Genomic DNA, 14,578 nt, shown 5'->3' with positions numbered 1-14,578 from the left:
CACTGCTTTCTGCAGGCTGCACAGAGGCGATCTCTCTTCACTAGAAGTTTACCCAAACAGAATCTCCTGGTCTTATGGGAGGGCGTGTTTAACTCCTTGCTTTCCTTGTCCCTGGGGGATGGGGATTGAAAAGGGAAATTCAGTTAAGCTAATTAGTAACTTTACACCATATAGACAAAAACTAAAATTGTTTTTCCTGAATTTGGTCACAAAAGTTGTGTATGAAGACAAGGCCTGAGACTGCAAGTTTTCTGAGGACAGATTATTAGACGAAGCTCAGTAGGGGGCCCACTGAGCTGTAGGTGCGTGCTTGTTGAAATGCTTCTTGCCCTCATAGCTCCTCTAGACCTTTTGCTGGAAATAAAAAGTGACACATTGGTTTTCCAGAGACAGCTTTATTGTAAAAGTTCCAAACATGCAAACAAACAGAGGATTTTTTTTTTCTTTTCCTTTGGATTGGGGTGGGGGGTACTTGGGATCCAATAGGTATATATACATATATTGTCTAGTTTCTGAAGGTGCTACTTTTATTTGTAACAATTGAAGTGATTTTAATACAGTAAAAAATGTTAGAAAGTATTAGTTTTTTTTTTTTTTTTTTTTTTTGTAAACCTATAAATTTGTATTCCATGTCTGTTTCTCAAAGGGAATATCTACATGGCTATTTCTTTCATCCACTTCTAGGACTCATTTCCCCTGGTGTGTCAGTTCCAGTTCAAGTTCCCGGAAGTGAACCTGATATGTCTCAATACTGGCCAAGATTACAGTAAAAAAAAAAAAAAAAAAAAAAAGGAAAGGAAATATTGTGTTAATTCAGTCAGTGACTATGGGGACACAACAGTTGAGCTTTCAGGAAAGAAAGAAAAATGGCTGTTAGAGCCGCTTCAGTTCTACAATTGTGTCCTGTATTGTACCACTGGGGAAGGAATGGACTTGAAACAAGGACCTTTGTATACAGAAGGCACGATATCAGTTGGAACAAATCTTCATTTTGGTATCCAAACTTTTATTCATTTTGGTGTATTATTTGTAAATGGGCATTTGTATGTTATAATGAAAAAAAGAACAATGTAGACTGGATGGATGTTTGATCTGTGTTGGTCATGAAGTTGTTTTTTTTTTTTTTAAAAAGAAAACCATGATCAACAAGCTTTGCCACGAATTTAAGAGTTTTATCAAGATATATCGAATACTTCTACCCATCTGTTCATAGTTTATGGACTGATGTTCCAAGTTTGTATCATTCCTTTGCATATAATTAAACCTGGAACAACATGCACTAGATTTATGTCAGAAATATCTGTTGGTTTTCCAAAGGTTGTTAACAGATGAAGTTTATGTGCAAAAAAGGGTAAGATATAAATTCAAGGAAGAAAAAAAGTTGATAGCTAAAAGGTAGAGTGTGTCTTCGATATAATCCAATTTGTTTTATGTCAAAATGTAAGTATTTGTCTTCCCTAGAAATCCTCAGAATGATTTCTATAATAAAGTTAATTTCATTTATATTTGACAAGAATATAGATGTTTTATACACATTTTCATGCAATCATACGTTTCTTTTTTGGCCAGCAAAAGTTAATTGTTCTTAGATATAGTTGTATTACTGTTCACGGTCCAATCATTTTGTGCATCTAGAGTTCATTCCTAATCAATTAAAAGTGCTTGCAAGAGTTTTAAACTTAAGTGTTTTGAAGTTGTTCACAACTACATATCAAAATTAACCATTGTTGATTGTAAAAAACCATGCCAAAGCCTTTGTATTTCCTTTATTATACAGTTTTCTTTTTAACCTTATAGTGTGGTGTTACAAATTTTATTTCCATGTTAGATCAACATTCTAAACCAATGGTTACTTTCACACACACTCTGTTTTACATCCTGATGATCCTTAAAAAATAATCCTTATAGATACCATAAATCAAAAACGTGTTAGAAAAAAATTCCACTTACAGCAGGGTGTAGATCTGTGCCCATTTATACCCACAACATATATACAAAATGGTAACATTTCCCAGTTAGCCATTTAATTCTAAAGCTCAAAGTCTAGAAATAATTTAAAAATGCAACAAGCGATTAGCTAGGAATTGTTTTTTGAATTAGGACTGGCATTTTCAATCTGGGCAGATTTCCATTGTCAGCCTATTTCAACAATGATTTCACTGAAGTATATTCAAAAGTAGATTTCTTAAAGGAGACTTTCTGAAAGCTGTTGCCTTTTTCAAATAGGCCCTCTCCCTTTTCTGTCTCCCTCCCCTTTGCACAAGAGGCATCATTTCCCATTGAACCACTACAGCTGTTCCCATTTGAATCTTGCTTTCTGTGCGGTTGTGGATGGTTGGAGGGTGGAGGGGGGATGTTGCATGTCAAGGAATAATGAGCACAGACACATCAACAGACAACAACAAAGCAGACTGTGACTGGCCGGTGGGAATTAAAGGCCTTCAGTCATTGGCAGCTTAAGCCAAACATTCCCAAATCTATGAAGCAGGGCCCATTGTTGGTCAGTTGTTATTTGCAATGAAGCACAGTTCTGATCATGTTTAAAGTGGAGGCACGCAGGGCAGGAGTGCTTGAGCCCAAGCAAAGGATGGAAAAAAATAAGCCTTTGTTGGGTAAAAAAGGACTGTCTGAGACTTTCATTTGTTCTGTGCAACATATAAGTCAATACAGATAAGTCTTCCTCTGCAAACTTCACTAAAAAGCCTGGGGGTTCTGGCAGTCTAGATTAAAATGCTTGCACATGCAGAAACCTCTGGGGACAAAGACACACTTCCACTGAATTATACTCTGCTTTAAAAAAATCCCCAAAAGCAAATGATCAGAAATGTAGAAATTAATGGAAGGATTTAAACATGACCTTCTCGTTCAATATCTACTGTTTTTTAGTTAAGGAATTACTTGTGAACAGATAATTGAGATTCATTGCTCCGGCATGAAATATACTAATAATTTTATTCCACCAGAGTTGCTGCACATTTGGAGACACCTTCCTAAGTTGCAGTTTTTGTATGTGTGCATGTAGTTTTGTTCAGTGTCAGCCTGCACTGCACAGCAGCACATTTCTGCAGGGGAGTGAGCACACATACGCACTGTTGGTACAATTGCCGGTGCAGACATTTCTACCTCCTGACATTTTGCAGCCTACATTCCCTGAGGGCTGTGTGCTGAGGGAACTGTCAGAGAAGGGCTATGTGGGAGTGCATGCCACAGCTGCTGGCTGGCTTACTTCTTCCTTCTCGCTGGCTGTAATTTCCACCACGGTCAGGCAGCCAGTTCCGGCCCACGGTTCTGTTGTGTAGACAGCAGAGACTTTGGAGACCCGGATGTCGCACGCCAGGTGCAAGAGGTGGGAATGGGAGAAAAGGAGTGACGTGGGAGCGGAGGGTCTGTATGTGTGCACTTGGGCACGTATATGTGTGCTCTGAAGGTCAGGATTGCCAGGGCAAAGTAGCACAGTCTGGTATAGTCTGAAGAAGCGGCTGCTCAGCTGCAGAAGCCCTCTGGTCCGGCAGGATGGGAACGGCTGCCTTGCCTTCTGCCCACACCCTAGGGACATGAGCTGTCCTTCCAAACAGAGCTCCAGGCACTCTCTTGGGGACAGCATGGCAGGCTCTGTGTGGTAGCAGTGCCTGGGAGTTGGCCTTTTACTCATTGTTGAAATAATTTTTGTTTATTATTTATTTAACGATACATATATTTATATATTTATCAATGGGGTATCTGCAGGGATGTTTTGACACCATCTTCCAGGATGGAGATTATTTGTGAAGACTTCAGTAGAATCCCAGGACTAAACGTCTAAATTTTTTCTCCAAACTTGACTGACTTGGGAAAACCAGGTGAATAGAATAAGAGCTGAATGTTTTAAGTAATAAACGTTCAAACTGCTCTAAGTAAAAAAATGCATTTTACTGCAATGAATTTCTAGAATATTTTTCCCCCAAAGCTATGCCTCCTAACCCTTAAATGGTGAACAACTGGTTTCTTGCTACAGCTCACTGCCATTTCTTCTTACTATCATCACTAGGTTTCCTAAGATTCACTCATACAGTATTATTTGAAGATTCAGCTTTGTTCTGTGAATGTCATCTTAGGATTGTGTCTATATTCTTTTGCTTATTTCTTTTTACTCTGGGCCTCTCATACTAGTAAGATTTTAAAAAGCCTTTTCTTCTCTGTATGTTTGGCTCACCAAGGCGAAATATATATTCTTCTCTTTTTCATTTCTCAAGAATAAACCTCATCTGCTTTTTTGTTTTTCTGTGTTTTGGCTTGGTACTGAATGACTCAACTGCTCGGTTTTAAAGTTCAAAGTGTAAGTACTTAGGGTTAGTACTGCTTATTTCAATAATGTTGACGGTGACTATCTTTGGAAAGCAGTAACATGCTGTCTTAGAAATGACATTAATAATGGGCTTAAACAAATGAATAGGGGGGTCCCCCCACTCTCCTTTTGTATGCCTATGTGTGTCTGATTTGTTAAAAGATGGACAGGGAATTGATTGCAGAGTGTCGCTTCCTTCTAAAGTAGTTTTATTTTGTCTACTGTTAGTATTTAAAGATCCTGGAGGTGGACATAAGGAATAAATGGAAGAGAAAAGTAGATATTGTATGGTGGCTACTAAAAGGAAATTCAAAAAGTCTTAGAACCCGAGCACCTGAGCAAACTGCAGTAGTCAAAATATTTATCTCATGTTAAAGAAAGGCAAATCTAGTGTAAGAAATGAGTACCATATAGGGTTTTGAAGTTCATATACTAGAAACACTTAAAAGATATCATTTCAGATATTACGTTTGGCATTGTTCTTAAGTATTTATATCTTTGAGTCAAGCTGATAATTAAAAAAAATCTGTTAATGGAGTGTATATTTCATAATGTATCAAAATGGTGTCTATACCTAAGGTAGCATTATTGAAGAGAGATATGTTTATGTAGTAAGTTATTAACATAATGAGTAACAAATAATGTTTCCAGAAGAAAGGAAAACACATTTTCAGAGTGCGTTTTTATCAGAGGAAGACAAAAATACACACCCCTCTCCAGTAGCTTATTTTTACAAAGCCGGCCCAGTGAATTAGAAAAACAAAGCACTTGGATATGATTTTTGGAAAGCCCAGGTACACTTATTATTCAAAATGCACTTTTACTGAGTTTGAAAAGTTTCTTTTATATTTAAAATAAGGGTTCAAATATGCATATTCAATTTTTATAGTAGTTATCTATTTGCAAAGCATATATTAACTAGTAATTGGCTGTTAATTTTATAGACATGGTAGCCAGGGAAGTATATCAATGACCTATTAAGTATTTTGACAAGCAATTTACATATCTGATGACCTCGTATCTCTTTTTCAGCAAGTCAAATGCTATGTAATTGTTCCATTGTGTGTTGTATAAAATGAATCAACACGGTAAGAAAAAGGTTAGAGTTATTAAAATAATAAACTGACTAAAATACTCATTTGAATTTATTCAGAATGTTCATAATGCTTTCAAAGGACATAGCAGAGCTTTTGTGGAGTATCCGCACAACATTATTTATTATCTATGGACTAAATCAATTTTTTGAAGTTGCTTTAAAATTTAAAAGCACCTTTGCTTAATATAAAGCCCTTTAATTTTAACTGACAGATCAATTCTGAAACTTTATTTTGAAAAGAAAATGGGGAAGAATCTGTGTCTTTAGAATTAAAAGAAATGAAAAAAATAAACCCGACATTCTAAAAAAATAGAATAAGAAACCTGATTTTTAGTACTAATGAAATAGCGGGTGACAAAATAGTTGTCTTTTTGATTTTGATCACAAAAAATAAACTGGTAGTGACAGGATATGATGGAGAGATTTGACATCCTGGCAAATCACTGTCATTGATTCAATTATTCTAATTCTGAATAAAAGCTGTATACAGTATGTGTTTATGCTACAGTGGGTTTTTTTAAGTGACTGACATTCATCATATTGGTTAGACAGTTTTAAAAACCTAGTCTTTGTTTTCTACAATGTTGTCAAGAACAAATAAAGTATAATTTGTGGTATATTAAAAGCAAGCTGCTTAAAAATGCTAGTTATAACTGCTTCAAAATATTAAATACATTTGAAAATGTATTTTGGAAATTCAGTTTCTCCCAATGGATGTTAAACACCTTTTAAAAAATCAAGACTCTTAAATATGCAAGTTACTTTTCAACTTTCATTTTTTATCCATTATCTGTCAAAAGCTTTGAGAATATAGAATTGTAATTAAAACACCTAATGTTTCATATGAAAACTGGTTCGATATGCTATACCCCCCAAAGACATGTTTACATGGTTAGAAATTTACACACTCAACCAATGTTCATTATTAACAAAATATTTATGTGATGCAATGGAAATCTGAGTTAGTTTCATTTTTTCACTTTGTCTCAGACCTATGTTCTGTAAAATCTCTCAACAAGCTTCAGTATATGTTTTTCTCCTGGTATCCTAGCATTAATGTAGCTGTCAGTTTGAATTTCAATCCTGAATGATGCCTGTTGACATAATTTCATAGTACTGACTTCAATTGTTTAGGATTACTAAACTAAAGACCATCCACTTCTTTTTTCTATGTTTCCTATCACTGAAGTTCTTTATATTTAATAACTACTATGGTAGACTAATTATCTCTAGTGGAATCTAAATCCCAAAATATTACTTTGTCTTTATCAATTTAATAACTGGATACATAAATGCAAATTTATTTTATATATTAGTAAACACATTTTCATTTAAAAAACAGCATTTTTGGTGGCAAGTGACTGTTTCTGTAATAAAGAGAAAGTATGTTTTCACATACAATCTTGAATTTCATCATGTTTTGTATGCTACCTGCTGTGACATGCACTTTACCATGACACTAAATGCCTTAGTACACACACGAATGACCACTGTCAGGAATCTTGAGATTTTGACATTTTTTGGCGTTTATTTAAAAATAAAATTATTTTCTCTAGAGCATGAAGGAAAAATTTAAAAGTATTTCTGCTGTGCTAGTTCTGTAAAAAGTTAAAAAATGAGAAATGGCGGCACCATTTTATAATCCTGTGTTTTTCAAGGAGTGGAGGGTCAAATTGTTAAGAAAAATATTTACATAAGCTATTAGCAATCATAATTAGAGTGTCATAGAATTCTGCATGCAGCGACTAAGGAGGAATCCCTAGAAGTCCAGGTGCTTCTTGCCTCCGGCCATCATGCCACAGCCTGGGCCCAGCCGCTTGGCGGATTCTGCCAGATCCATTTTGCTTGAGCGGCTCACTGTGTCTGACAAGTCTGGAGGCAAATGCAGTCGCTATGGCAGAAGATTTCAGGAGAAGAAAAAAAGAAGAAAGAAGAAAAAAAATTAATTTTGCTTTGGCTAGCATACTTCAGATTACAATATTATGCTCTGTTGATCAGCATTTAGACTTGCATATAAAATTCCTGCTAAAACAATTCTTCAGACTGAATTCCAGTATAATCACCTCCTGTTCCTACTGGATTTTACAAATTACAGCCATCACAGAAACCGTACCAGGAATCTTATTGGAACATTTTCAGTGTCCAAACCAAAATGTATTAAGATCTTTTCTCATTAGGTAGAAGTGAACACATGTAAACACATAAATAACAGCAACGTTGGAAATATCGCATAAATAACGGCAGATGTCTTTTTTCTTTTTGGCTTTGTTTTATTTTGCCAGAGCTCCAACATGCAATTTTTAAGGTCAAATGTAGCTTTTCAGCAATTATAGATTCCCATGAATACTTGTTTGTCTTTGTCTATTAGTTGACCTGACGATTCTTTTTCAAGGTTATACTTTCTCTAGGAACTTAAAATTTTCACAGAAATGTTGACAACATAAAAAAATGATACCAACCGGAGGGTCAATTTTTTCATATGTTCAGGTAAGTCAGCCACAGCATCTATTACCGGTCTTGGTAAGTTTGTTTCTATGCATAATGTTGGGTCATGTTTTCAAAAGTATAGTGTTGCTTTGAACACCCTCCCAACCCCCGCCCATCCCAACTGTTTTTCTGCAGATACAGGCTGATTTAAACTGACCCCAGCAACTGACCACAATTACAGAAGTTACTGCAATTAGGGAGAAACATCCATATTTCAAAATAACATTTTTCTGTTTTCAAAAGAATATCAAATTCATTTAACTCTCCGTGCTCCCAGCTCGCAAAATTTATTTCATAAAAATCCAAACTTAAAGGAACTTATCTGTTGTGTGAGACACAAAGTGGTGTGGGAGGCTAAAGATAAGGCAGCATAGGGCTCCCCACTGATGACTACACACAGCCTTCTAGAGGAGAACTGACCTGGAGACAACCTAGCTGAAACCCTTCATTTGGAAAATTCTCTTCAATATGGGGGGGAAAAACAGATGAAAAAGGGGAGAACCATATTATTTTGGTCAAAATATTGTGGTCCACAAGCATATGCTCCAGTTAGTTTCTTTCTTGAATAAAGGCTTTTTATTGTCATGTAAACACAAGCTGTGTGCACATGATCAAAATATTTTAAAACTAAAAATAATTTATGAAAAAATATTCTTCCTTGATTTCAACCTGCCTGTACTTATTTTTAATACAAATATATCTAGGATAAAAGATACTATTATACAAATGCATGATCAAGGAAGATGTCAGAAAGGTTAACGGGGTCAAGAAAAGCTGTAACACTCATAGAGTAATATCCATACAGAACTATTCCTTAGTATCCATGGGACCCAGCCTGTCACTTATTAAGCAATTAAATATCTATTTCTTGAATGATAAAAAAGCACAAATAAAGACATATTTGTTTCTTTGTTTTAAGCAATTCTTTCATTTCTTTATGCTCTAGTTTGTTCCAGGAAAGATTTCAGGCAGAAACAAAGGTATGAAAGGCTCAGGAATCGGCCAGGCACACTGGCTCATTTCTGTAATCCCAGCACTTTGGGAAGCTGAGGCAGGCGGATCATGAGGTCAAGAGATGGAGACCATCCTGGCCAATATGGTGAAATCCCGTCTCTACTAAAAATACAAAAATTAGCTGGGTGTGGTGGTGTGTGCCTGTAATCCCAGCTACCAGGGAGGCTGAGGCAGGAGAATTGCTTGAACCAGGGAGTCGGAGGATGCAGTGAACCGAGATCGTGCCACAGCACTCCAGTCTGGCAATAGAGCAAGACTCTGTCCAAAAAAAAAAAAAAAAAAAAAAAAAAAAAAGGCTCAGGAATCCAAAAGGCAGGTATGGTTCTAAAGTTTGGGGTTACAAATGTCTGTGTAGGGTTAATTCTATCAGTGTCCACGTGAGGAAGCAGGACGGAAAGAAACCTTTAATTTTATGTCTGAGTTTTAATGTTTAAGATCTTGTAGTTATTGCTAATGAGCAAAAGAAAAATGACCAGGATACATGCATAATCTGAAGGTTATCTGAAAAAAAAATTACCATAAAGAAACGTGCATGTATATACTTTTGGTTGGGACCTGACAAATGACGTCAGATGGTGATTAGGCTGTTTGGTAAATCAAGTGGAGTCAACAAATATTTAGAATCCACTTGCAGCAAGGGATTCTGAAAGCTTATGTCAATAGAGTACCTTCCACATTCATTTCCTTACAATACAGTAATATGAATAAGGCAAGCACATAGGTAACCCTCACAGGGAACACTCCAAGTTAGGTATACAAGAAAGGCAGACACAAACCAGAAATCACAGTTGGCGAAGGAAAACATGAAAAAGCTTTATGGGGTAGGGATCTGGGCTGGGTCTGAAGTAATGAACTGGATTCTGACATGAAGAATGGAGATTTGCTTAACAGGAGAACCAATATATCTTTACGATTACATGATGCATTTAGTTAACGGGTCATACTGCTCTGATAATCTAAATGAGAAAACTTGCGTGCTTTATTTAGAACAAGCATAATACAATTTATTTCAGGAGCCTACCTATTTGCTTGTGGACTGGCTCAGCATTTCTTGGCCTCTGCTTTTCTAGGCAATGAATGTGGTGAGCCAGTTGGCCGAAAGCCCTTCAGAGAAAAAGTAGCTAAATGTGACATGTGACATGCTTGGAAATCTTTCAGGTTGAATGGCTTTGAAGTAAAGTCAAATATCATTCGTGTGAGACTTCTGAGCATAAAAATTTAGGGGTAATATGATTAACTGCTTTTAACCAAATGCTACATTGTAAAGCTAGTTGTATATTCATGCCCTTTGAAAATGCCCAAGGATGGCTCTTGGAAATATGTGAATCTATGTGTGATTTTGCCTGCTTTTGTTGATTATTACTTGAATGAGCTTACTATGCAATCTAAATTCTCAAGCAGTGGGTTTTGTTTTCTTTCTTTCTGAGCCTCCCCCTGTGCGCCATGTCAGTGCGATGTGAAACAGCGAGGAAGAACGAGAGATCAGGTTCCAGGCATGCCAGGTGTGTCAGGGATTTTTCCTTTGAGGCTTCCAAAGCATTTACACACTTGACATGTAAATGTTCAGATGCTGCTGTATCCCAGATCTGTCTTCTGAAAAAAAATGCTGCAAGATACTCTGCATAGCATGGTGACCTCCTTTAGACTTAAAACTACAGGGCTGTAGGGTATATAAACTTTTAGACATTGAGGTTTCACTGAGTAATGGTTTAAAGAAAAATCAGACCACAAAAAAATCATATTATTCTCAACCTTGAAAACCAAATCAAGGTATTCATATTTCTCATTTTATACCTGGGGTTCTGAAGCAAGGGCCAAAACCAAAACCATATCTTACTTCTTGAGCTGAAATTTTTCCACTTGATTTTCTTTTCTCAGATTCTGGGAGGAAGAGACTGTGTGATGCAGGAGATGGATAGCTGGCTGGCTGGCTGGCTGCCTACTTTTTCCATTAATGCCTTGTCTAAAACAATGATTTCTGTGTAGGCAAACGGATCTGGGAAAGGTGTGACAACTTCCACGGTTCCTGCACAGGCCAGGGTGATTTGCTGTAATCCCACTGGATCAACGCTGCAAGGAGGGAAACAGTGAGGCTAGCAAAACACTCTGGCAGATTATGGAGACTCCTGCCAAAAGGCACCCTTAGGCCCATGGGAAGCCCAGGGTCATAATAAGGCAGCAGCAGCAGAAGTGATTTGCTCTGAGGCTCCAAGAGGTACCGAGGAGAGCTGGACTTTGAGATTCTTTCCCCTCTACTTGCCTCTCCGTCTCTTTGTTGGGCTTAGCCACTGTCTATATTTTGTTCCTTCTGAGTCAGCAGCTAAATTGATCCTATAGACACATAAGATTGGAATTCCTGGCTCAACAGTTCCCTTCCTAATTCCGTTTCTCCCAGCCTGCCAGGCCTGTGCTCAGTGCTCACAGTTCCCAGACAGAAGGGGCAAGATAATGAATCTCGATTACACCTGGATTTGAGACAAATTGCAGGTAAATACTCATTAAAATAAGTTTAATCAGTTTATATTTTTCACATTTTGCCAAGACCAAACCATCAGGCACTGTTTGTTTTCTGAAAACAACTGATGTAGTATACTTTGACCCTTAGCAGATGACTAAAGATTTATTTTAAACCTTTTAAAAATTTCTGACATTTCCTGAAAAGTCACAATTTGTATTGCTCAGGATCACAGAAATAAGCATTAACATTTCAGAATACTCCTAATAGATTTTTTCATTTTTCTTTAAAACATTGCCAATTTAAATGAAAACTTGCCAGGCACGGGGTAGCTCACACCTGTAATCCCCACACTCTGGGAGGCCGAAGTGGGAGCCTGGGAGTTCAAGACCAGCCTGGACAATAAAATACAGTGAGACCTCATCTCTACAAAAAAACCTTTAAAACTTTAGTAACTGTCTCAAAAAACAAACAAACAAAAACAAAAAACAACAACTTATAAATACCTTAGAACACACAGGTTCTACATTGGTCCCTTAACAGAGGTGGCCAGGACTTGTGGGCACTGGACACAGAGGCAGAGAGTGACAGTTTGATACCTGCCTCTGTCATTCACTCTCCACGTAACCTCAGAAAAGTCAATTCAGCTGGTTAAGCCTCAGTGTCCTCATCTATCATGGGGGAATGATTCTTCCCTCATAAGACTCTCGTCAGAATAAAATGAGATGTGTAAGTGTTTTGTGAACTATCAAGTTCTACACTAATTTATTTATCTCTTCTTGCTTCAAAAATGGATCTGAGGTGGTTCATAAAAGTACATATGGTATAACAAGACAAAAACAAGTGAGTTTATTAGGTCAAGGAAATCAATCTACAAATATAACGAACAAATATAAACAATAGCAACAGCACATCAGACTTAGCCACCAGGTCTCAGTCTGCCTGGAATCTGAGTATTTAGTATAATTACTCTCTACTGCGGCTCCTTACAGACATATAAAGCAAAGTGCAACTGCAGTCCCTGCTTCTGAGGTTTTAAAAGTCTAAATACTTTCCCTCATACTGAGTAAGGTAGGAGTGAAAGTGGGGTATGTAAGATGCCTGGCTTCTGGGCCAGTGTATACATGCATGGCTGTATTAAGGAGGCAATTTAGGGTGCATTTTATTTTTAAAACCTGTATTTTGCACATGTCTTCACTGCTGGCAAAATAACTAATAAAGGAAATGTCAGAAGATGAAGCTTTCCCACTCGAGTTTTAAAAGCATATCCCCCCTTTATATAATGGGGAGGAAACAAACGCTCAAAAGGCACGCCATCCTATTCCACTGCAGGTTTTCAGCTCTGATGCACTCACTGCAGGATGATATACTCATCTCTGCAGCCAGTTTGTATTCTGAACTGCTCCAAGTGGTAGGGAATGAACTAGAGTACAGGCTAAGTAGCTATAATACAGAGACACTCCTACCCTCTTCCAAAAATGGCTTATAAAAGGTAGTTTATTCCTTTTCCATTTTACAGTCCAGAAGTAAGCAATTCAGAGTGGGAAGGACTGGTCTGCCATTCTCAACAAGGGGTTCCACTTCTGGCTGCAAGGCTGATGCTCTTCTTAGCTTGTGAGAAGAAAGAGGCCAGGAAGGCAAGACCTGAAAGTTGGACACATCACTTCCACTCATGCCCAGAACAAAGACATGGCCACATCTAGCTGCAAGGGAGGCTGGGAAATGTCTAAAAGTGTGTAAAAATGTTTAACAAATCTATTACTATGGAAGGAGGAGTAAATGGATATTGGGAGACAACTAGTGGCATGTCAATTTCCAGAAGGGCCACAGCAAAATGATCACCATCCAGAAGCATTCACTCAGTATGTGAACTATAGCTGACTGCGGGGGCCCCATTCATGGTTTCTGACCAAGAAATGCATACCTGATGACCCCACTAGTCCAGAGGGTGGGAATAAAAGCAATGTGTTCATAGTCTCCCCTGCTCTATGGATAAACACAGAATTTCTCCTTCCTTTGTGGAAAGACAGATTTCCTTTCAGGGTCACAAGGAGGAGGATGGAGGGGAGGAGACAGACTATGTTCACCATCATAGTATGGCTATGATATCTTCACAAGATTTCAGAGTGTTGTTTCAACTTGCAAAAAAAAAATCAATGTTATATGCTATTATATAATCATTATATTTTATATTGTTATATTTGTAGTACTCCCTAATTATTACATTATTACAATGTAATATTATATTGTAATTATTCTACATCTGGTTAGGATTTGCAATGTGGAGGATGCATCTGCTGAATTTTGCATTATTGTCATATATGAATAGGCCAGTGGAAACAATGCCAGAACCAAATATTTGCTCTTTTTGGATTGGCAAGTGTACATTTGGTAGCAGCTGAATATTTCTGGAGCAAATTCTGCTAAACATGATTAGGTTTTAGGTTTAACTTTTTGTTTAAGGCCCAATTCATGCCCAGGGTTTAAGATTAAAATGATTAATCTTAATTGAATTTTATTGAATGTCATAATCATACTATATCCTTTAAATGGAAAAATATTCATTGGGTTCTTCCTGACTGATTTGAAAATTAGACAAAATTTCAGCACTGGAACACTGCACATTGGCTGTCCATTGAAAAATGCTCAGGTGTGCAATTATTTTGACCGTCAATTATAACTGACAGTATTGTCTTGCCTCCAAATTCACCTCTCTGAAAGAAGATTGAGAAGAACTCACTTGTCTAAACAAAAGTGTGATTTGTGAAAAGGCATGTGTCTGTGGCAAAGATTGCCAGTTTACTCCCAAAATCTATTCTCCTTTTCAGAGAGTACAAGAATTTCTAAATATTAGTGAGGCACATAGCCTTCTAGAACAGAGGTCACAGTTCCTAGCTTCCCTTGCCAATAGAAGAGGCTGAGCGACTAAGTTATGGTCACTTCATCTGGAGCAGAAGTGCTATGGTTAACTTTAGGGTGAGCTCCTTAAAGAGGAGGCACCATCTACTTATCCTTTCCCTTAAAATTGCTATTAGATCTTGGCAAGAGAGCCCCTGCCCTAGGTCCTGATCCACACCTCCTTTGGCCATGCCCCATCCTACAGGGTGAGGAATTACAGGGCTAAGGGAGATGTGCTTCTAGATCCCATACTCTTTTTTTTTTTTTTTTTTTTTTTGTGAGATAGGGTCTCACTCTTTTGCCC

General features: G+C 37.4%; 2 protein-coding genes across 55 annotated transcripts in view, besides 1 other annotated feature; one reads left to right on the top strand and one right to left on the bottom strand.

Moving 5' to 3' along the window:
* PAX6 (paired box 6) overlaps positions 1-1,678 on the top strand; it is a 28,936-nt gene extending 27,258 nt beyond the window's left edge. For all 52 annotated transcript variants that reach the window (NR_160917.2, NR_160916.2, NM_001127612.3 and 49 more), the window contains one exon: positions 685-1,678. Coding sequence is in view for 50 of the 52 variants with exons in the window: in NM_001368921.2 (NP_001355850.1) it covers positions 685-1,074 (390 nt within the window). In the remaining 2 variants the exon portion in view is untranslated. The remainder of the gene's footprint in view (positions 1-684) is intronic.
* The window catches only part of ELP4 (elongator acetyltransferase complex subunit 4), a 280,558-nt gene continuing 266,359 nt past the window's right edge, over positions 380-14,578 (bottom strand). For all 3 annotated transcript variants that reach the window (NM_001288725.2, NM_001288726.2, NM_019040.5), the window contains one exon: positions 380-7,311. In NM_001288725.2, the coding sequence (NP_001275654.1) occupies positions 7,166-7,311 (146 nt within the window). In that variant the 3' untranslated portion in view covers positions 380-7,165. The remainder of the gene's footprint in view (positions 7,312-14,578) is intronic.
* Positions 10,266-11,465: an enhancer, noted in NCBI's record as "BRD4-independent group 4 enhancer chr11:31800787-31801986 (GRCh37/hg19 assembly coordinates)". NCBI's record gives its function as "activates an origin of replication core promoter dependent on BRD2, P300/CBP, MED14 and CDK7 cofactors, and independent of BRD4, by STARR-seq in HCT116 cells {active_cell/tissue: HCT116}" and the evidence as "EXISTENCE:reporter gene assay evidence [ECO:0000049][PMID:35650434]".

Source organism: Homo sapiens, chromosome 11 (genome assembly GCF_000001405.40).
Source record: "Homo sapiens chromosome 11, GRCh38.p14 Primary Assembly".
NCBI classification, from domain to species: domain Eukaryota; kingdom Metazoa; phylum Chordata; class Mammalia; order Primates; family Hominidae; genus Homo; species Homo sapiens.
The sequence above is the reverse complement of the archived record's forward strand: the minus strand, read 5'-3'. Positions and strand labels throughout refer to the sequence as shown.